Source organism: Homo sapiens, chromosome 9 (assembly GCF_000001405.40).
Source record: "Homo sapiens chromosome 9, GRCh38.p14 Primary Assembly".
In the NCBI taxonomy this organism is placed as follows: Eukaryota; Metazoa; Chordata; class Mammalia; order Primates; family Hominidae; genus Homo; species Homo sapiens.
Genome location: NC_000009.12, coordinates 117,395,864 through 117,416,888, shown reverse-complemented (window position 1 = coordinate 117,416,888; position 21,025 = coordinate 117,395,864). Strand labels below are relative to the sequence as shown.

The window sequence follows — 21,025 nt, the reverse complement described above, 5'->3', positions numbered from 1 at the left end:
TAGAGGACTTGAAAGGCCAGATTCCACCCCAACCTCCACACATCCTTTGGGTTCACAGATTAGTAAACTGAGACAGGAGAAGTATACCTTACAAACCTCACAGGGAAGTAGATCCAACTGTGCTTATGCAGATTTACCTTTTACAGCATCTTTGATGGGTGGGGTTTTCCAAGGTCACTGAGGACAGTGTAATTTAAGGGAAACAGTCAAGGCTTGAAGCCTACTGTTCAAACCTCAGCTCTTCAGCTCATTTGCTATACGACCTTGGAAAATCCCTTCACCTCCCTGACCACCTGATCTCAGTTTCCTCACATGGAAAATGGGAATCATAATATCCATCTTTTTGGATTATGGTCATGTAAAAAAGCTAACATACGTACATGTCTAGCATTTGGAGAATGCTTTAAACACATTAAGTCCAAGGTCGCAAAACAGCTTTTGCTTTTTTCCTTATTTTCAGTGCTCTGCCTTTATCCAACGTTATTAAAAAATATATGATGAGAGAGGAGAAAAGCAATTTATATGAAGGGTTAAAGATAGAAAAGGGGAATGAGACAGAAGAGGGAAGAGCTAAGAGAAAAGTGAATGCATAGAGACAGCACAAAAGGTGCAGATGGGTAAGCTAGACAGAGATGAGAAGTTGCTCACAAATTATAGGAAAGAAGCATTTGTAAGATTAAAGTCAAGATGAGAAGGAAGGAAATGAATGGAGAGATGAAACAGAAAACAGAGACAGGGAAGATGAAGAAAAGTAGGGGAGTGGGGAAGGGGCTGCACGGCACTTGACCCATGCAGAGGTGTCCGCTCCCTGGAGGGTCTCAGGTATGTGGGTCAGAGACAGAGTCAGCCCAAGACCAAAGGGTGCTGAATCTGAGGACCTAGCTCAACTTGAGTCTAGAAAGACTGCAGGTGAAGAATTGGTGAGCACTCCCGTTCTCTGGGACTTGGGCAGAGGATCTAAAAGACCCGGGAGCCAAGGACAGACAGAATAGTAGGTCTCTACCTCACACCCTTTTCAGGAATTTCACACAGAGAGCAGAAGCAGCCAAGTAGAGCTGCTCCAAGCTGGGAGCAGGGATCCAAAATAAAAAAGCGTGAGTGGGCTGGCTTGCAGGGCGGCAGCTAGGGGGCCAGAACAGCCCGGCTTCAGTCAGTTGTGGGGTCGGCGTTAGACGGTGGAGTTCGACGCCCCTCTGTCCATTAGCAATTAGTGCTAGCACAAGGCCTGGATGGAGGGGAGAGGAAGGTTTGCGGGCAGTGGGAGAATGAATGCAGGAGTTGTGGCCAAGTGGGTGGGAAGGGGGCTCTGAGGCTACAGGAAGTTATTTCAGAGACTAGAAAAGGGTAGGAGATTGGAGAAAGGACTTGTTCTTGGGCCTGAGGGGAGACAAAGTTAAGTCTTGGCTATCCAGGGGGCTCCCTATCCCCAAGAAGGCGGGGCCTTGAGCAAGGCTGGGCCAAGGCGCGCCCCCAGGTGCAGCCTCTGGGTTGAGCCGAAGGTGGGGTGAAGCCAGGAGAACTGGGTTGAGTCAGGGGGGCTTGGGGGGGCCCGAGGGGGCCCTAAGTATTAGGAATTTGGGGAGTTTAGGGAGGGGTGTTGTGGCTAAAGAATGCTGTGAGGGCGGAATTGGGGGATCTTGGGAAAGGGGAGGGAGCCACTGGGACTTGCACGAGGCCGGGCGGAGCCTCCGAAACGCTCGGGGTCTGCGGGGGGAGCCGGAGATCGGGGACGGGCGGCTGGGCCCCGGGAGGCGGCGCGGGGGGGCGGTCCAGGGCCGATCGGGAGGCGGAGCCCGGAGCTGGGGGCTGCTGGCGAGCGGCTCTCTCCGCTCCTTAGCTCGGGCGTCCTGGTTCGCTTCGGCGTCCGCCGTCTCCGCAGCTGCCTCCTCTTCCTCCTTCGCCACCGCCGCCACCGCCGCCGCCGCCCGCAGCACCGCAGCCCCTCCCGCCATGGCCGCCGCCGGCGCCCGGCTCAGCCCCGGCCCCGGCTCGGGGCTCCGGGGGCGGCCGAGGCTCTGCTTCCACCCGGGGCCGCCGCCACTGCTGCCGCTGCTGCTGCTGTTCCTGCTCCTGCTGCCGCCGCCGCCGCTGCTGGCCGGCGCCACCGCCGCTGCCTCGCGGGAGCCCGACAGCCCGTGCCGGCTGAAGACCGTCACGGTGTCCACACTGCCCGCCCTGCGGGAGAGCGACATCGGCTGGAGCGGCGCCCGCGCCGGGGCCGGGGCTGGGACCGGGGCCGGAGCCGCCGCCGCCGCCGCGTCCCCGGGCTCTCCTGGCTCTGCCGGCACCGCCGCCGAGTCGCGCCTCCTGCTCTTTGTGCGTAACGAGCTGCCGGGGCGCATCGCGGTGCAGGACGACCTGGACAACACCGAGCTGCCCTTCTTCACCCTGGGTAAGGCTGGGCGCCGGCACGCGCTAGATCCCAAGGAACCCCGAGCCCCTGCGTCATGCCGGACGGGTGGGGGCGCCCTGGGGATCCCTGCCCGGGGCTGCCCCGAGTGGGGTTGGCAGAGGGTAGAGGAGGGGCCCAGAGGTCGCACAGGTGGTTGGAAACGAGCATGTGGGAGGAGGTCCTGGAGAGCGCGCGGCGGGAGCCTGGGGGCGTGCCAACCCTCCCGCAGTGGGAACCTGCCCCTCTGCCTCTCAGTCCCGACCTGGAGCTCTGCTTGATCCATCCCGGAAGCCGGAGACCCCATTCACTGAAGGTGCTCTGGCTAGGGGCCGGAGCATCCCAGATCCTAAGCCAGTTTCAGGTCGAGCCTCCCACTTCTCCGGGTACCGTCACTGGCCACCCGCCGTCACCGCCCCCTCGCTCTCGCCTCGGAGTTGCGGGTTCTGCCCTTCCAGATGGATTTTCATGAGAGTAGGAATGGAGTAGTTCCGTGTGGAATCGCTCAACCCGCAAAAGCGTGGCTTCCGCATGGGCTGAGTGACCTTGGCCAAGTCGCTTCCCTTCTCTGAGCCTCAGTTCTGGCCATCTGTGAAATAGGGCTGGAGAGACTTGAGTGGTTGCTGAGAACTGGGATTCCGACTCCGAGGTCTCCACGTTTAGAGCCTCCCTCTACCCCCGTTACCGCCTTCCCTTTCTACCCACCTCCAGGCAGAGAGCCGGTTTGTCCTTGCAGCTCACTCCCTGGGCTAATAATAATTACTTAAAGGCAAGAAAAAGGAGAGGAGAGGAGATGGGTGTGGGTGGGGGGCTCCAACGGAAAAGTTAATCAGAAAAGTTCGCCAGCAGCTTGCTGCCTGCTGGTTCCCTGCGCGAATCCCGGAGGAGTCGGCCCTTCAGTGGAGCTGTGGGAAGCGCAGCTGATTTCCCACCCGGGTAATTGATAGCTTAATTATCTCGGAGAGCGTTTACAAAAATGTTGTTCCCCTTAGCTCTCCCGCGCTCGCTGCTTGCTCGCTCTCCCCTCCCCTCTTGGGGGCGCGGGGCCTTATTGGTTGTCGGAGTCTGGCCAACAACAGCGCCCGTGAGGCGCCAGGGGCTCGCCCAGACCCGGAGCTCTTCTTCCCCGGGTCTTTTCCTCGGCGGGATCCGCCTCGGGCACCGCAGGTGAGGGGCCTTCCAGGTGAGAACCTTTACGATCCCTGAACTTCCGAGGTTAACTCCTTGCTCGCCTGAAAAGACCCACAGAATAATCAGCGGACTACGCTCCACTCTCCTGGTAGCCCTGATATTGTTAAAAGTATTTTTGTGACCCACTCCCCATCCTTTCATGCTACCACCTCTGGGGATTTGAGCGAGTGCCAGTGGTTCTCCCGCTCTGAGCTTGAACCTCGGGGGTCGAGCCCCTGTACCCACCCTCGCAGGCTGTAACCTGAGCGTGCCGAGCGTTCCGGGAGGAGAGGCAGCGGAGCGTCCTGCAGGTTCCTCGGGGACTCCCCGCGGCGGCGCTTCTGGGGTGCGACGCACCAAGCACACACACACAGACACACACAAACCAGTAGCTCTTCCCACGTGCACCTGTGGGGCTGCCCATGTCCGAGAAAGGGAAGGAGGGTGGAGGTGGTGTTCCTTAGAGCGCCGCCGGACTAACCTCAGGCTCACAGCTGGCTCTTGCCACCTCCCCGTGGGGAAGGGTCTTTCTAGAGACACAGAAGGTATCCCTTCACTACCACTTCCATTCCTGACCTTCTCCCTTCATCCTTTAGATCTCTCTACTCCGGGGTACTCTGAGAGATGAGGGGTGGAAATCCTCCCGCCCCCCAAACGGCCATTCAAGTGAAGGGATGAGACGGTCCTTGGGTATGGCCTGACTTGGCAGTGAGGACCACAGAGCATTTCAAGTCTTCGAGGATATGGAGGACCTGCTCCAACCATCTGTATAGGTGCCCCGGGATTCCTGGAACTGACAATCTTTGCCATTTTTAACTTTGGCTTTCAAACAGGATGGGTGCCTGTGAGCCTGGGACAAGCTGAGTGAGGACCTGAGCGAGGAATTAGAAGTCTTGATTCCCCCAGGACCCATGTGTTGCTTGAGAGTCTCCTGGCAACAACCTGCACATGGAGACTTCCCCCTCCTCTGATGCACGGTCCCTGAGCCTGGCAGCTTGGGACCCTCTGCCCCTTGGAGAGCACGGGGCTGGCCTCCTTGGCAGCGCTGAGCCTTTTGGATGCATGCGGGGGATTGGGTTCTTGCCTCCTCCTTTTCCCCCTAGCGCCCTGGGCTGGCAGCTTTAGGCGCTCTCAACGGGGATTTGGCTAGCGAGGTAGTCACCAGATGGCTGGGTATAGCAGGAGCTGTGTAGGGAGACGTGGGATTTTTATTTGTGTTGGTCTTCCACTGTTTGTGTGTAAACACAGAGTGCACAATGAGTTCTGGGAGGACCTAGCTGGCCGGAAATGAGAGTTGGTGCCCGCTGGGGGTTGGGGGGGGGAGGGGTGAGGTGGGGGTGGTGGTAGGGGTGGGGTTGGGGCTGATACTATGAGACATTTATGGCCATCTCTTTCTAGTGTCCCAAGGCAGCCCCATCCCATCCCCAGACTTTTAAACATCCTGCCTAACGTTTGTCTCTGGCGAGTTGGGCAGCTTTCACTATCAGCTTATCAGTTCAGGGGATACGGACATGGCCAGTGCCACAGCTGAGCATGCAAAGTTGGTAAATGCCAAACTCTGCCAATAGTGGGGAGTGTGGAGCTACCACTAGGGGGTGATGGTGTCCACCAAAGCCCTCTGGTCACTTTGGGTCCTGGGACCAGAATTAGTGGTGGTAAACCATCCCTGGTATTAAAGGGGGACAAACAAAAAGAAGAATTCTTAGTTTATTCAAACTCCAGTGGGGGACCTCAAGGTAATTTTGCATGCACTATCTCCCATCTGCGTGCACCAAGGTCACCTTCATATTTAACCCTGGCTCCCTCCATTCTGCCTCTTTTGTTTCTGTTATTGGTAATGCCCAGACTGGAAGCAAGTCTTTTTTTTTTTTTTTTTTTTTTTTGCAGATCCTTTCCTTTTTGTATTTCTAGTCTCCCTATCAAATTTCAGCCTGCCTTAAGTAAATGGAAGTTTCCTTCAGTTGTGAACTATCTCCAAAGTTTGTTTGCCTGGGATTCTTCTTTAGAATCTGATTATAAGTCAATGACATTGACAAAGTGAATCTCCCTGAAAGTGATCAAAGAATAGCAAATAGTTATTGAATCCTTAATGTGATGCTAAGAGCTTTCTTCCTGCCTTGTATTATTAATTTACATAACATATATGGAGTGGGCTCTACTGTTACTCCCATTTGCCAGATGAGGAAGTATTTTTAGAGAGGTCAAACGCGTAATCCAAAGTCATGCCAGGAATCAATGGCAGACCTGGAACTGGAATCCTGGTCTGCCAGACACCTACATTCTTGTAGGTTGCTAAACTGGTATTCTGAACCAAATATGAAGTTTATGCAGGTTATGGTGCTGAATAGAGAGGGATAACAATCATCAAGATTGTTAGACAAGAGCTTTTCTCCAAAGGAACTTCAGCTACCTTGGTGAGCTGACCTATGTAAGTTTGAAACTGAAATATGAGTTAAATGACATCCAATGACCCTTCCAGCTCAAAGTTTCATGACTCTTGGATGTCAAAGGGCATTTTATTTATTGGTGCCAATGAGTGATGGAGATGATACATTCTGTAGCATCAGGGAAGGAAGGCATCTCTGTAGAATTGGAGAAGACTGGGGGCACTTTCTGGACCAGAAAGAACCTGAACTAGGCCTTGGAGGATTTAATAGGCAAAATGAGGAAAAGTGGAATGCTAAAATGCAGCTTAGAAATTTAACGCTGGTTAGGATCTGGAAATCTCAGCTTTGGCTCACTGTGACCTTGAATAAGTCATTTATCCCCCAGAGCTTCAATTCTTTCTGCTGCAATATGAGTGGGTAGATGAGCTCTAAAATAATCCTTTCGTGTAAAGATTCTATGAACTTGAAGTGCCCTGACCTACTCCATGACTCTGATAGCTCCTCTTGCTTTGTACTGTCTGTTTTCCTTTACTGGTAACATGAGGGTGGTGGGAAGGACTGATAGAAAAGAAAGAATTTGAGCAGGAACAACTGCCAGCCCAGGGCTTCTAAGGTGAACCTGTATGTCATTCAGTCCTCACTTACCTCCAGGCAGCCCCCGGGGTCTGCTTGTGGATTTAGCTTTCATGCCCACAGGTAGGGAAATGTCATCCTTCTTGCTGTGCTTGATAGTGGTCAGGCAAGACTGTTTACTACCTGCTTTGATTCAGCAAAAGCAGGAAAAAGCAATAAAATTGAATAAGCACTCATTGTCAACATTTTTTAGTAATTTGCTTTGCCATATCAACCTGACAGGAGAGGCGTGTGATCTGTATTTGGGGGAGGGAGTGTGAAGAAAGAAAAGCTATTCATTAGTCTGTGTTAAGTACACCTGCATGCGTAGAGCTGGCGGGGTCCCAAAGGACCATCCCAAAGGCTGCTTTATGCAAGAAGCTGATGGCCTGGAAGAAGGAGGAAGATACGGTTTGAAATGCCAACTTGTTCAGGTCAGCAAATGTTCCTTGAAGGAGTGAGGTGCCAGGAACCTGGCCAGAAGAATGGTTGGGAGAAGGGAGTTTAGCCACAGAGGGCTGGAGAAGCTTCCTTTAAATGTCAACAATGAGCTGAGTGTGGTGGCTACTTGGGAGGCTGAAGCAGGAGGATCACTTATGCCCAGGAGTTTGAGGCTTCAGTGAGCTGTGCCCATACCACAGCACTCCAGCCTGTGTGGCAGGGGGAGACCCTGTCCCTAAAGAAAAGTCTACACAAATTAAGAGTATGTTTTCTGTTGGAGAAGGGGAGGGTGTCTGATTCTAACGAATGTCTTGAAAGATCTGAGAGGATAGAGCTGAGCCCTACAGGAGGCTGTGTCCCCTGGAGCTGTCCAACAACCCAGTATGCTGACCCCTAACGGTAATACAATCCACCTTGTAGGTATTCAAGCACAGACTGGACCTCCGTTTGGCAGACATTCGAAGAATGGACCCACTTCCTTGCAGACCGTTGTATACCCTTATTGCTTTCTGGTTTGGTTCTAAAGGTGGACAATGAGTGCTTACTCAATTTTGCTTTTACCTCCTTTTGCTGAATCAAAGCAGATGGTAATTTTTTTGGAGGGAGGAAAAAATCCTTATAAATAGTCATGAGCTGTGTCTTCTCTAGGGGTTTCTGACCACAGAATGTTCATTAGCATCAATTCCACTTTTTTTTCTTATGTGTGAGAGAAAGATTCTGGGATGGAGAAGCAAGAAAATTTGATTTCTTGAGAGAAAGATAGGATTAAAACAATGTATGTTATTTCTTCATTTGGTCACCAAGTCCTTTACTGCTAATTGAGATATTTGGTTAGCAGTCAAACTTCAAGTTCCCATCTTGGTGTGATGGTCTAGGTTTCTGGGACATTATAAACAAGGGTCTTGGGGGAGGTGGTGTTTAGTGGCCTCTGATCTAATTCTTCTACTCTTTTCCACTCACTTCCCTCACTCCATACCCTACCCCACTTCTTTCCATCTCAAAGCCGATGAAATTTATTTAATGCTCAGGGCAGAGTGAAATACGTTGTCTTCCTTCAGAAAGTACTATGTTATTGAGACAGTGTAGGGCAGAGAGAGGGGAGAGCTCATTTCAACCATTAGCAAGGCTTAGATTTGGTCAAGGTGGACCAGATTTGCTGTTTCTTGGGGGGTCAGTGATACCAACCTAGGCAGATCTGCAAGCTTTGGCATGACCCATGGCTTGATCATTTTCCTGAACTGGGACCTCAGTCTGCAAAATTACTCTGTGATTTTAATTTGTAGCAGGTGCAGCAGGAGGATTGACTAGGCCTTTGGCTGGCAAGGCCTCCTGCTTCTCACCTCCTTGCTTTGTTATACACTAAGCCTTGTTTGCCATAGGCCATTGTGAATATGTGTGATGTGGGGAGAGGAGGATAGACTGACAGCGACCTCTTGAATGAAGTCTGGAAAACTGTCACCACAACCGTCGACTTTGATGGGCTCCCAGCATCACAGACTCACAAGGCATTGAATTCAACCCCTCTATTTTATATGGTAACACTGAGGCCTAGATAAGGGAAGAAACCTACCCTACAGTCCAAATTTAAGCCCAATTGTCTTGAAGCCCACACTGCCTCTTTCTATCACATTGCTGGGCCTCTCACAGAAGGCATTGGGTTTAAACATATCACAGATTCTACAAGTTAGTTCAGCATCATAAAGGGGGACACTCTTTCCTCTCCCCCTGCCAAAAAAAAAAAATCTACAAGGAAAAATCTCCTTAGGGAAATTGAATTGGTTTTCCTGCCTGAGTATCCAACTGATTGGCTCCAATCTATCCTAAGCACCTGGGCTGATGGGTTTTGTTCTGGGGCAGAAGGAAGCCTCACTGCCTCTCACCCTAGCTGCCTTTGGGGGTGGGTGGAGGAAATCTGCTCTTTTCAGGAAAGGAAAAAAAGAGTCGGGTTTAACCTTGGGGTGGAGCAGCATTAGAGGAGGCTTCCTTTCCAGAGCTGATACTCTCCCACGTTCTCATACTGACCAGCTAGTGGCAACAAAAGATTAACTATAGTGAGAGAGAGAGAGCTGGTTTTTCTTTCCTTGCAATGGAGCAGACAGCCTCTCTGCCCCCAGAAAGAGGCAGGCAGCAATGCTCAATGAGAGTTGTTCTATTTTCTAGCACTTGTTCTCTCCTTTCACTGGCTTTTCTCTACTGACTATAGCTCTTTTGGACAATAGCCCCCCAAAAGAACTCCCTTTTGAATGGAAAAGGAGTGGGTGATGACTACACAATGCAAGATTCAAAACTGAAATATGTGTAGCTTTCTTACTAGCATACTGGAATATGTAAGCATCCAAGTCTGTGAGTTGAAATTTGACAAGCATGTTGTAGGTTACAAACTATGAAGGGAAACTACTTCTTCATCCCCAGCACTGCAGTCACTGTCAAGGTCAGGCCTCAACACTTCTCTCTACTACAATTACAACAGTCAACGCACTGATCTGTCTACCTCTAGTCTTATCCCCTCTAATCCATCCTCCGTACTTGCAGACAAAGTGATTTTATTAAAAGCCCAAATCTGATAATGGCCATCCTCTTGTAAAGCACTTCACTGCTTCCCCATTGTTCTGAAGGTGTTGAATTTCCCTCTCCCTATTGTAGTAGTACAAGGTCCCTGATCACACTCTGCCAGATTGTCCTTTACTAAGAACCCTTCCTTCTTATTTGGCACCTCTACCTCACCATCCCCTGGGGAAATTCCTTCTTGCTTTTCAAGACCGAATTCAGGTGTCAACTTATTTTTGAAGCCTTTTCTGACCCCTCTGCACCAGAGTTGAACACTCTGAGCCTTGGTGCCCACTATCAATAAAGACTGCTATAATCATAGCCAGGCCCTTTGAATCACTGAGCACCAGTGATGTGAGAGTCACTGTTCTATGTGCCTAGGATACATCAGAGAACAAAAGACAAAGATCTCTGCATTCAGAGAGCTTTTATCCCTCTGTGTTGTGTGTGTGTGTGTGTGTGTGTGTGTGTGTGTGTGTGTGTGTTAGGGGACAATGACAACAGACATAATAAGTAAATAAGTTATGTAGTATGTGAGAAGATGAAAAATTCTATGGAAAAGGGAAAAAACTAAGGGAAAAGAGAATCGAGAGTTCTGAGATAAGGAGACGGGTTTTAATATTAAATAGGATAGAATGAGAAGAGCTTATTGAGAATGTGAGATTGGAACAAAGGCTAAAAGAAGGGGAAGGAGTTAGCCAAGCAGCATCTAGGAAAAGCACATTCCAGGCGGAGAACAGCTCCTAGCTAGATAATCCTAGCTGATTATCTAGCTTAGGAGCACACCTGGACCTTTCAAGGGACAGCATGAAGGTCGGTGTGGCTGGAATGCAGTGAACAAGTGGTGGTGGAGGAGGGGGGTGGCAGGACAAGACGTCAGAGAAGAAAAGAACAGTCATGTAGGGCTGTACAGACTACTGTCAGGATTTGGGCTTTGACTCTGAGTGAAATCAAGAGCTCTGTAGAATTTTAAGCAAAACAGTGCCAAGGTCTGACTTATGTTTCAAAAGAATTCCCTACGCTGCTCTGTACAGGACCAACGATGGGTGCAGGAAAGCCTGAAGGAGTCTCTACTGATGAAAAGTAATGGTGGCTTGGAGCAGAGTGAGACCAGAATTTACGCTGTGTGTTTCCTCATGTGTCTCACGCTGTTTGCCTATGTACCCTGTGAGCAGCTAATGTACCTCCTTCATCTCTGGGGCTGTGGTGACTCACCCTTTACTTGGCACATTGTAGGTGTACAGGAGATCTTAGAGAACTAGAACTCTGTGTTTGCTAAGTGTCATCCCAGAATCCACAGTAGACAAAACTTGAGATGGGCTGAATTTGCACTACCCTGTTAAGAGTGAGCCTAAACACTATCCATCCCACAGAGCCTTCCCTCTTCTAAGCACCCATAGCCATTGCTGCTACCTTCTCCTGTCTCCTGATTATTTTGGGGTGATTGCAGGATGGCTAATGAGAACAATGTGATTAGAGGAAAGATCATTGTGTTTGGAGAAGACTCTGTCTTGAGCAGCTTGGAAACCAGGTAAATGATTAGAAACTTTGCATTGTAGCAAACGAAGAGACAATACAAGTTTCAGGGAAATGATACACCATGGTTCCAGGATTATCAAATATCAGAAATGGAAAAATTTAGGACATTATCTAACTGAAACACTTCTATATAAAGATGGGGAAATCAAGGTCACCAAGCCTGTGGTAAAGCAGATGCCAGATCCCAGATCTACTGACCCCTATGTGTTTTCCTTCCATCTTAGGGAAGGGCAGCTGGGAAACTGGGGACAGGAGGAGTTGGAATTCCAGAGTTGTAATGTAACTGGACTTTATCATCCTACATAGGATAGGCTATGAAAACCGTGACCATTTTATGTAACATGTACTATGTCCCAGGTGCCATGATGGTACATTTGTTATCTATTCTTTCTACAGTGCTGAAGGACAGATGTAGCTCATCCCATGTTATAGGGTGAGTTCTGAGGCTCAGAGGAGTGAAGGAACCTACCCAAGATCACACAGCTATTATACAGCTAAGCTCAGTCCAAATCCAGGTCTGCCTGGTTCCATAGTCTATGTTCTGTCTGCCTTGCATGCTGCATAGAACAAGAGATGCTCTCAACTTTTCATCTCTAGACTTTTTTACTTCTTATGTCATCCTCTTCTCATGACCAAGAAGCTGCAGGCGTTTCTTATATAGGAACTTCAGGTGTGACAGCCTCACAGGCCCAAGGGACTGAGCACCTTGTTCTGTGCTGCCAGGAGCTGACTTAGCAGCTCCCCAGGCCCCTTTGCTTGCTCCTTGCTGCTTTGCCAAGACAGCATCTAGGCCTTGTCTCATACTCTCCAGATGCCTCTTGTTACTCCTGGACCCACTTGACAAGCAAACTCCTATGTTTCTGTGCCTTCTTGGTTTCCTCTCTCCTTCCCTCCCTCTATTCTTTCCACCTTCCCTCCTTTCTTCCCCATCCCCTTTCCTTCTTTTTTTTCCCCCTTTTCTTCCTTCCTCCCAACTCTTAGAGAGTTGTCACCTCATGCTCTGCCAAGTGTTTACTAGGGGATCAGTGATCTTGTCCTCTGAGAAATTTGTATAAGCTCTATGTCCTTTTTTGGGAAATGATCAGGGTGTCTGGAGTCTGAGATGTAGCCGCTATCTGGCTAGGTGAACTTGCTTCTCACTCCTGCTCAACCTTGTCAAATTTTTCCACTCAGTACTCCTTAGCATCATTGTGCAGTTTTCGTGTTTCCTCCTTGAATGTGGGATCTATATTATACATACATACACACACATACGTAATATATTATAATGCTATATAAATCCAAATATATAGTGTATCCTTCTAGATTATTAGAATGAGGTAAAATGATGCCTTTGAGATCCAACCCAACTCCTTCATCTATGTAGCGAAGACAAATACATTTTCCAAGGTCCTGCAGCTAATCCACAGCACAACCAAGTCTCTAGCTCAGGTCCTCTGATGGTGGCAGTGTGCTAGAGTGAGACTTTTGCTAGGTCTGAGGACCAAAAGCCCTGGGATCAAATCCCAGATGTGCTAATTCCTAGCTTTAGATTTATGTATGCCACTTCTCTGAGCCTCTGCTTACCCATCAATAACATGAAGAAAACATAATAGTCACTTAATTTTGGAGAGCCCTCCATAACCACATTTTAGTCAGCACTGGGCACTGTGCTAACTTTTTACTTACACTAAGCTGTGTGATCCTTATGGAGATAGTGTGTGCAAAGCACCTAGCGCAGCATCTGGCACACAGCTTGGGCTCTGTGCCTCTTCGCCACCTGGAATCCTTTTTTTGGAAGGAGGTGGAGGTATGAATCAATAATGAATGTAAATTTCCTTTCCCCTCCCCCTCTTTCCACTCCCTCATGCTCCTCTTATGCCTCCTCTCTCCACCTCCCCTCCTCCCCAGCAAGGCAAAAAAGGATGAAATTGACCATTGATGTCTGCTCATTCTCTTGGAGCTGGGGGAAGCTGGGGGAAGCAGGGAATTCCGGGGTTGTTTGAGGACAGTTGGGACAGAAGAGCTCTTAGAGACTGAGTCTAAGGCAGGTGGGTGTTGTGGGAGCAGGCGGGGCAGAATCCTCTCCCTTCTGGTGGTGGCTGGCTGACAAAGCCTTGCTCTCATGCACCCAGGGAAGTCACGAGTGGCTTTGCAAGCAGCCGAAAAGGGAAGGAACATTTCCATTAGCAGAATCAGCAGTAAAGAGATTTCCAGTCACAGTAATAGCTGCATTTGGGGGAATCATTTCAGTGGTGGCTGAGGGCGGAGGAGGGAAGGGGGTGGGGCATCGGGGGAAGGCACAGGAAGACGTCTGGTCTACTTGCACAGAGCTGGGAGATAGCACCAAATTAGAGCCAGGTGCCAGACAGGGTGACTATTCAGGAGCAGGACTGGTCCTTTGACAAACATTCTGGATTCCCTATTGTCCTCCAAATGGACAGAGCTCCATTCTAGAGGGTCCCCATGGGAGGCTGCACACTTATTCAATGCTTCCTTTCCTCTGATTATCTGAATTACTCTTTTCAAGACTTTTACAGCCAGCAGCAACTTGTTTGGCTCCCAGGATTTGTAGGTGGAAGAGTTCCCAGATTATTTAACCCAGGCTTTCCTCAAGTTAGCTGATCATCAGAATCACGGTAGACCTCAGGCTCTCAAGGCCAGACCTGCTGAGGCTCCTGGGGAGAGGCCTGGGAATCTGAACTTCAGCAAGTGTATTGACACCCTGGCCTTTACCTAGAAAACCTCTGTGAAGTGAAGCCCTGTTAGAAGCTCTTCAGCCTCATCCTCCAATGTTCCTTTCCTCCCTCGAGGCTCTAGCCTCATTAATTACTTGCAAATGTCTGAGGGTAACATGCTTATTCTCTTCTCTCTGTTTAGATTGTTTTTGTATTCCTCGTTCACCTGGCCAGCTCCTAGACTTAGCTCTAGCATCTGCTCTAAGGGGTGTCATCTCTAAGGAGCCTTCTCTTTCTCCTCTTGGGCTTAGGTTTTCTTTTCCTGGAGACCTATATACCCTCCATCACACCACCACCACCACCCCACCCCACTCCATGTAGGGTTGCTCTGTTTAGCAAATAAAAATACATGATGCCAACTTAAATTTAAATTTCAGATAAATAATGAATACTTGTTTAGTATAAGTATGTTCCATGCAGTATTTTGGACATACTTATACTAAAAATGTCTCGCTGACTATCTGAAATTCAAAGTGAACTGAGCGTCCTTTATTTTATTCAGAAGCCCGTAGGAAACCTGTGTTTCTCTCCTTCTTGTCTGGGATCACACTATTGATGTGTGATTTGCCCCCTAAACCTGCTCTACCCACATCTTCCCATCTCAGGAAATCAAACTATTAGCCTAGTTTTTCAAGCTAAGCAGTCATTCTTCATCGTTTTCCTTGCCTCTCATCCTTTCAGTCAGCTAACCCTGATGGTTTTGCTTCTTAAATGATTTTCAGGCAGGGTGCAGTGGCTCACGCCTGTAATCCCAGCTCTTTGGAGGCGGAGGCAGGCAGATCACTTTAGGTCAGGAGTTTGAGACCAGCCTGGCCAACATGGTGAAACCCCATCTCTACTAAAAACACAAAAATTATCCAGGTGTGGTGGCAGGTGCCTGTAATCCCAGCTACAGAGGAGGCCGGGGCAGGAGAATCTCTTGAACCTGGGAGGTGGAGATTGCAGTGAGCTGAAATCGTGCCACTGCACTCCAGCCTGGGTGACAGAACAAGACTCTGTCTCAAAAAAACAACAACAGGAAAAGATTTTCAGAATTAACTTTTCATAGTTTCCACTGGCATCACCTTCATCCAAGCTGCCATCCTTTCCCATATCAGCCTCCTAACCGGTCTTCCTGCTGCCTCTCCCTTCTCTGTCCTTTCTTTATGCCATACTATATATAGCCCATGGGCCAAATCTAAACAATTGCTTGTTTGTTTGTTTGTTTGTTCAGCTCATAAGACTATTAACTTTTTAAAAATAGTTGACAAAAAGTCAAGAGAAGAATAATATTTGTTGACATGTGACAATCATATGAAATTCAGATGTCAGTACCTATAAATAAAAATGTACTGGAACACAGCCACACTCCTTTGTTTATGTGTTGCCTGTGGCTGCTTATGGTCTATAATGACAAAGTCAAGCAGTGGCAATAGAGAGTGTCTAGCCTGCAAAGCTTAAAATATTTATTAACTGGCCCTTTACAGAAAACGTTTGCCAACCTCTGCTCTACACAGTAGCCAGAGTGATGTCTTCCAAAAAATAAATTATATTTTGCCACTCCCCTGTTTACGACCTGCAATTGTTTCTCATTGTTTTTAGGATAAAATCCTCATTCTTTTTCAGTGTCTGCAAAATCCTAAATAATTTGCCTTTTTCTCTGAGTTGCCTTCTACCATTTCCTCCCTTGCTCACAAAACTCAAATATTACCTCCTCCAAGTAGTCTTCCCGGACCAAAGTAGCACCCTTATACACCACACTCTCAGCTATCTCAATTATTTTTAAAAGCCTTTACCTGACAGGTATTTGGAGGCAGGGAGTGTGTCTTGTTCATCATTTTGCTCCCTCAGCTACGTAGCTGAGGAACATCACATAGTAGGTTCTGAGTAGATATTTCCTGACAAAATGGGCAGAAATCAGGGTGATAGTTTGTGAACACCACTTCTGATGGATCACTACCTCATCAGGTTGTTCTGTTTTTTATTAGGAGGAGGATTCCAGGAGCTAAAGTTTATAAAGTATGTTCAGCAGTACCCGGCACTTAGTACATGCTACCTATGTGCTCGTTAAATAAACAAAAGTAAATAAGCCTGTACCTTAATCCCTAATACCAGCCCCCTCCCTACCTCTTTTGCAGCTGGAGAGAGCTTAGGATCACTCGAAGCAAGTCATGTGGTTAAAGATCTCATGGAACCCAGAGGCAGTGTAATATGGTGGAGAGGACTAGAACTAGGAATCGTGGGTTTTGGTCCCAGTTCTGCTGGGTGTCTGTGGTCAAGTCTCTTCCTCTTTTCAGGCTTTCCCTCATCTCTAATGTGATGAGATTAAACTAAGTGATCCTAGGAGCCCAGGAGGGAGAGAAGGGTTCCCTCTGGGAACTTCTGAGGCTGGAGTTACAGTTAAAGCTTTCTCCTTTCCTTCTCTATCCTTTCTGGGGCCTCTGAAGATCAAACACTCAGCTCTGAACCCAGGTGCGACTAGAGTTTTCAAGCCCAGTCTTGCACTAATTTATCAGGGAATCTTCTTCAATTACTTTCTCTCTAGCCTTCCCCAGGGAGGGGGACTGCCCAAAGTAACCAATTACTGGTCTGCCAATGGCAGGGTTCCTACTGTCCCTCCCTCCCCTCTTTTCTCTCTCTCTTTTATTGTCCTGACCTCTTTAATCCATCTCTCCAAACCACAGAAGCCTCTAGGGAATCGCCCCCACTCACTTGCCTCCCTGCTTCCAGGAGGGAACAGACGTTCTGTCCTCCCCACAAAAGGACAGCAGGTGGAAAGACTGATGGCTGAGAAAGGGCAGCTACAGAGCTAGGAAAACCAAACAGGTTTTTCAAGTCTGGTAAGTACACAACTGTGTTGAATTTGGAGGTAGTGCCTGGAGTCTAGTCCTGTTTCTGCCATTGATTTGTTGTGTGACCTTAAATAAATGGCAGTCCTTTTTTGACCTCAGGGAAGATTAATATTGTAAGAGCCAAGTCTCTTTCAGGAAAGCAGGGGAAGATTGGGCTGCATAGGCTACTCCAAGAGAGAGGAGAAATCATCCAGTCTGGTTTGCTGCAGAATCCCATGTGCCTACAGATGTGTCCATCATATAGTAGATACTCAATAAATATTTGTTGAATGAATAAATGAATAATCAGTGGAAATTATGTTTGGCCATACTGCCACTGTCCACTTCTGTATTCATGACAGACATTGCTAATCAATCATTTAATGATAGCCTGAGATTCTTTCTCAATGCAATGCCTCATCAATCACTTCCAGTCAATTGGGATTAGCATAGGGGATGAATTTTATTCCCATTTCCTAATCTAAACCAATTCAACCCGAAAACCTTGGCATCTCTGCCTGGTGTTAAGACCTTTTAGTAATTCTTCAGTGGTCCTTCCATCCCAGACCCTGTGCTGGATCTCTAGTGGTATAGAAAAGCAGGGTGCTCATAGACCCTTATTGCATAAGGTCAGTAGTAATGGGATTAGCTGTATTTATTTTAAAAAGGAAACTTTGTATCACTGTCATGAATGAAACACCAAAATAACTTTCAGTAAATGGAAGATAGCCTGCAAAAGTAAGTATGTCTCTATCGAAGTTAAAACACTCATGTGCCGTCTAAATTCATCTCTGGTTCAATACTTGGAAAATGTTGATCGACCCAAGCACAGAGACGAAGATAGTCCTCTAAAATTCAAATTTTGCTCACTTAAATGTCAGATTATCTTTAATATTATATATTTTAAAAATATCTTTTCTGCCTCATAACTACCATCTTTTAAGATCCAGCGTGAATATTCCCTCACTCCTTCTAAGATGACTTTCCTGGCTCCCCCCAAAACAGTTATTTCCCAAGCATTTCGTATATTCAGTGCAGTCAGTATTTTCATAGAAATATTGTTGATTGCATGTCGGCCTTTCTTGTTAGTATGTAAGCTTTCTAAGTTAAACATCATTTCTCTTTAATATCTGTAACTCCAGCAGAGAGTACACGTGTGTTTATTGTATTTCCAACCTCAATTTTACATTTTGGGTCAGGCGCGGTGGCTCACGCCTGTAATCCCAGCACTTTGGGAGGCCGAGGTGGGCAGATCACAAGGTGTTCAGGAGATCAAGACCATCCTGGCCAATGTGGTGAAACCCCATCTCTACTAAAAATACAAAAAATTAGCTGGATGTGGCAGCGCATGTCTGTAGTCCCAGCTACTCGGGAGGCTGAGGTAGGAGAATTGCTTGAACCCGGGAGGCGGAGGCTGCAGTGAGCCAAGATCGTGCCACTGCATTCCAGCTTGGGTGGCAGAGCAAGACTCCATCTCAAAAAATATTAACAGAAAGAATACAAGGTTGTTGTAACACATTAATGCAATTCGGAGATATTGTAAAGGAAAACCTGAAAGTCTCTCCTCCACCCAAACACATTCCTCAAAGGTGGCCATGACAAACAGTTTGCTGGAATGCTTATGGGAATGTGGAATAGATATGTTTGTGAATAGCCACCTTTGGTGCCAAAGAGGGGAAGAGATTTGTCCAAGGTCATTCTGAAGTTTCTTGCAGGCGGCACAGAGATATTGATAAAATTGTCTTTTCATTAGGGCACTGGTTTCTATAGCTGGCCTCCATGATAGATCAGGGGAGTATGAGTTGCTCTGGATTTCTGTTACAGAGGTGCTCCACTCTTAGCTGCCTGTAACATTGGAGCTTCAATTTCATCTGAACAAAACATGCATTTAGACATTTAAAAAACATTTTAGAAGGATGGCACTATGTCCAAACCACAGCATCGGCCTCCATTCTCCATGTACAATATATTGGAAAGGAGATGGTTAATGTTCCTTCCACATTTTTTGGTGGTAGTGTGATTGAAGGAATCTTACTGTCCGTCTTATAATTAACATTAAGCCAGCTTTACAAACCACCCCTAGAATGTTCAGGCCCCTGAAACTATCTCAAGATTTCCTGTAGGTCTTAGGGAATTTTCTTTTTTTATTTTCCTTTGCTTGATTTACACATAAAGATGCACACACACACACATATACATAATATGTAACAGAAACATTCGTACATGTACACAAATACATACATACATGCAGATACATATGAGACACAGAGAGTGTGGAATATGATGATTCTTCTGTCAGGAGAAGTAGAAGAAACTGAACTCAGCAAAGGAGAAGCTAGAAAGGGACTAGTTATTACAACCTGTCGGGGGTGGGTGTCTCTGGCATGGCATTTGACATGATTGCTAAATCAGTGCTTCTCTTCTTCTTCGTTAAACTTCTCATTTGTGTGGGGAGACAAACTATTCAGGGGAGGGCTAACTACATTTCATTTTAATTCCTTGCCCTAGAAATCCTTGTTTTTGAAGCCATTTAGACTGGCAGTTGGTCAGTTAGTAGAAAAAGTCCATTAAAGTGGAGAATCATAAAAAGTAATAGACGCACCGTAAACATTTCATTTTAACTTAAAATACGTAAATGTGCATACATTTGCCAATTATTAGATGTAGGCCCAAGGCTGCCTCTTGGAGGCTGGATCAGCTGATTGGAGTTCCATGCCATCTGTCTTCCATAAACCATGCTCATAATACACCAGATATGATCTCCAGTGTTGGTTTCATTAAAGGAGACTGAGGACCTAAAGATGCTTGCCAAGTAATTTTTCTAGAGTTTTATGATTCCTTTCTAAATTTTTATAGTTGTCGCACCTGACCTAATTCAACAGCAATATTTAAGTGACTTTCTTTGTTTTTTTTAAATAGTATAATCAACTTAGTCCTCCTAGAAACCACTTTCTTGGATGTTCATAAATTTTTAATTTGCAGAATATTTCATTAAGTTTTGTACATTTTTAAATAAAGAGTGTAATTGGATTGTTTGTAACTCAAAGGATAAATGCTTGAGGGGATGGGCCAGGCGCTGTGGCTCACGCTTGAATCCCAGCACTTTGGGAGTTGGAGAACAACCTGGCCAGCATGGTGAAACACCGTCTCTATTAAAAATACAAAAAATTAGCCAGGCATGGTGGTGCATGCCTGTAATCCCAGCTACTTGGGAGGCTGAAGCAGGAGAATTGCTTGAATCTGAGATGCAGAGGTTGCAGTGAGCTTAGATTGGGCCGCTACACTCTAGCCTGGGTGACAAAGCGAGACTCCCCCTCAAAAAAAAAAAAAAAAAAGCTTGAGTGGATGGATACCCCATTCTCCATGATGTGCTTTTTTCACATTGCATGCCTGTATCAAAATATCTCATATAGCTGGGTGTGGTGGCTCACGCCTGTAATCCCAGCACTTTGGGAGACCAAGACGGGCAGATCACTTGAGGTCAGGAGCTTGAGACCAGCTTTGCCAACATGGGGAAACTCTGTTTCTACTAAAAATACAAAAATTAGCTGGGCATGGTGGTGCATACCTGTAATCCCAGCAACTCAGGAAGCTAAGGCAGAAGAATCACTTGAACCCAGGAAGCGGAGTTTGCAGTGAGCCAAGATCAGGCCACTGCACTCTAGCCTGGGAGACAGAGTGAGACTCTGTCTCATAACAACAACAACACAAAACATCTCATGTACCCCATAAATATATGCACCTACAATATACACACAAAAATAAAAAATAAAAAGTAAACTATTTCTTTAAGTTTTGTAATTATAAGAAATATAATGAGCATAAGCAGGTCTGGAAAACAAATTGGCTTCCTGTAAAATACAACTTAACGGGTGGCAAAGTCCTGAGTGCTGGAGAGGCAGCACTTTAGCAGTGTAAGCATTCATAGCTGGGGAGGCCCGAAATGTTCTACAGAGATAACATGAAACGCAGGCTCATCTGGCAGTCAGTGGAAAGAAGGCCAGCTGTAAGCTTTTGAAATATATACATTTCAGGTTGACAGAGGCATTAAGTCATAGCAGTTTTAGTGGCTGAGGCTTTAGATATCATTTGTCCAAAATTCTGATTTAAAGAGGAGGAAACAGAATCCCAGAGATGAGCCAGGAACTCCTGACTGTTGTAGTTCATAACCCTTCCTAGGATTCCTCAGCAATTGCCATTGATGTCCTCATGCTTTGGGGTGGCCTTCTTAGGGAGGCACCCCACACTATCCCCTATTTTATAGATGAGAAAACTGTGGTTCCAATAGTAAAGTTGCCGAGCATGTTAGAGCTGCTGTTAAATTCCCAGATCACACTGACTTCCCAAAGACCAGGAATGTTCTATAGATTCTTCTTGTTGTTGTTCAGCAGTAGCTTTCAATATTTTTAGAAA

At 47.1% G+C, this 21,025-nt stretch overlaps 1 protein-coding gene across 3 annotated transcripts in view; it reads left to right on the top strand.

The window, feature by feature from the left end:
• The window catches only part of ASTN2 (astrotactin 2), a 991,946-nt gene continuing 972,752 nt past the window's right edge, over positions 1,832–21,025 (top strand). For all 3 annotated transcript variants that reach the window (NM_014010.5, NM_001365069.1, NM_001365068.1), the window contains exon 1: positions 1,832–2,392. In NM_014010.5, coding sequence (NP_054729.3) covers positions 1,951–2,392 — 442 coding nt within the window. In that variant the 5' untranslated portion in view covers positions 1,832–1,950. The remainder of the gene's footprint in view (positions 2,393–21,025) is intronic.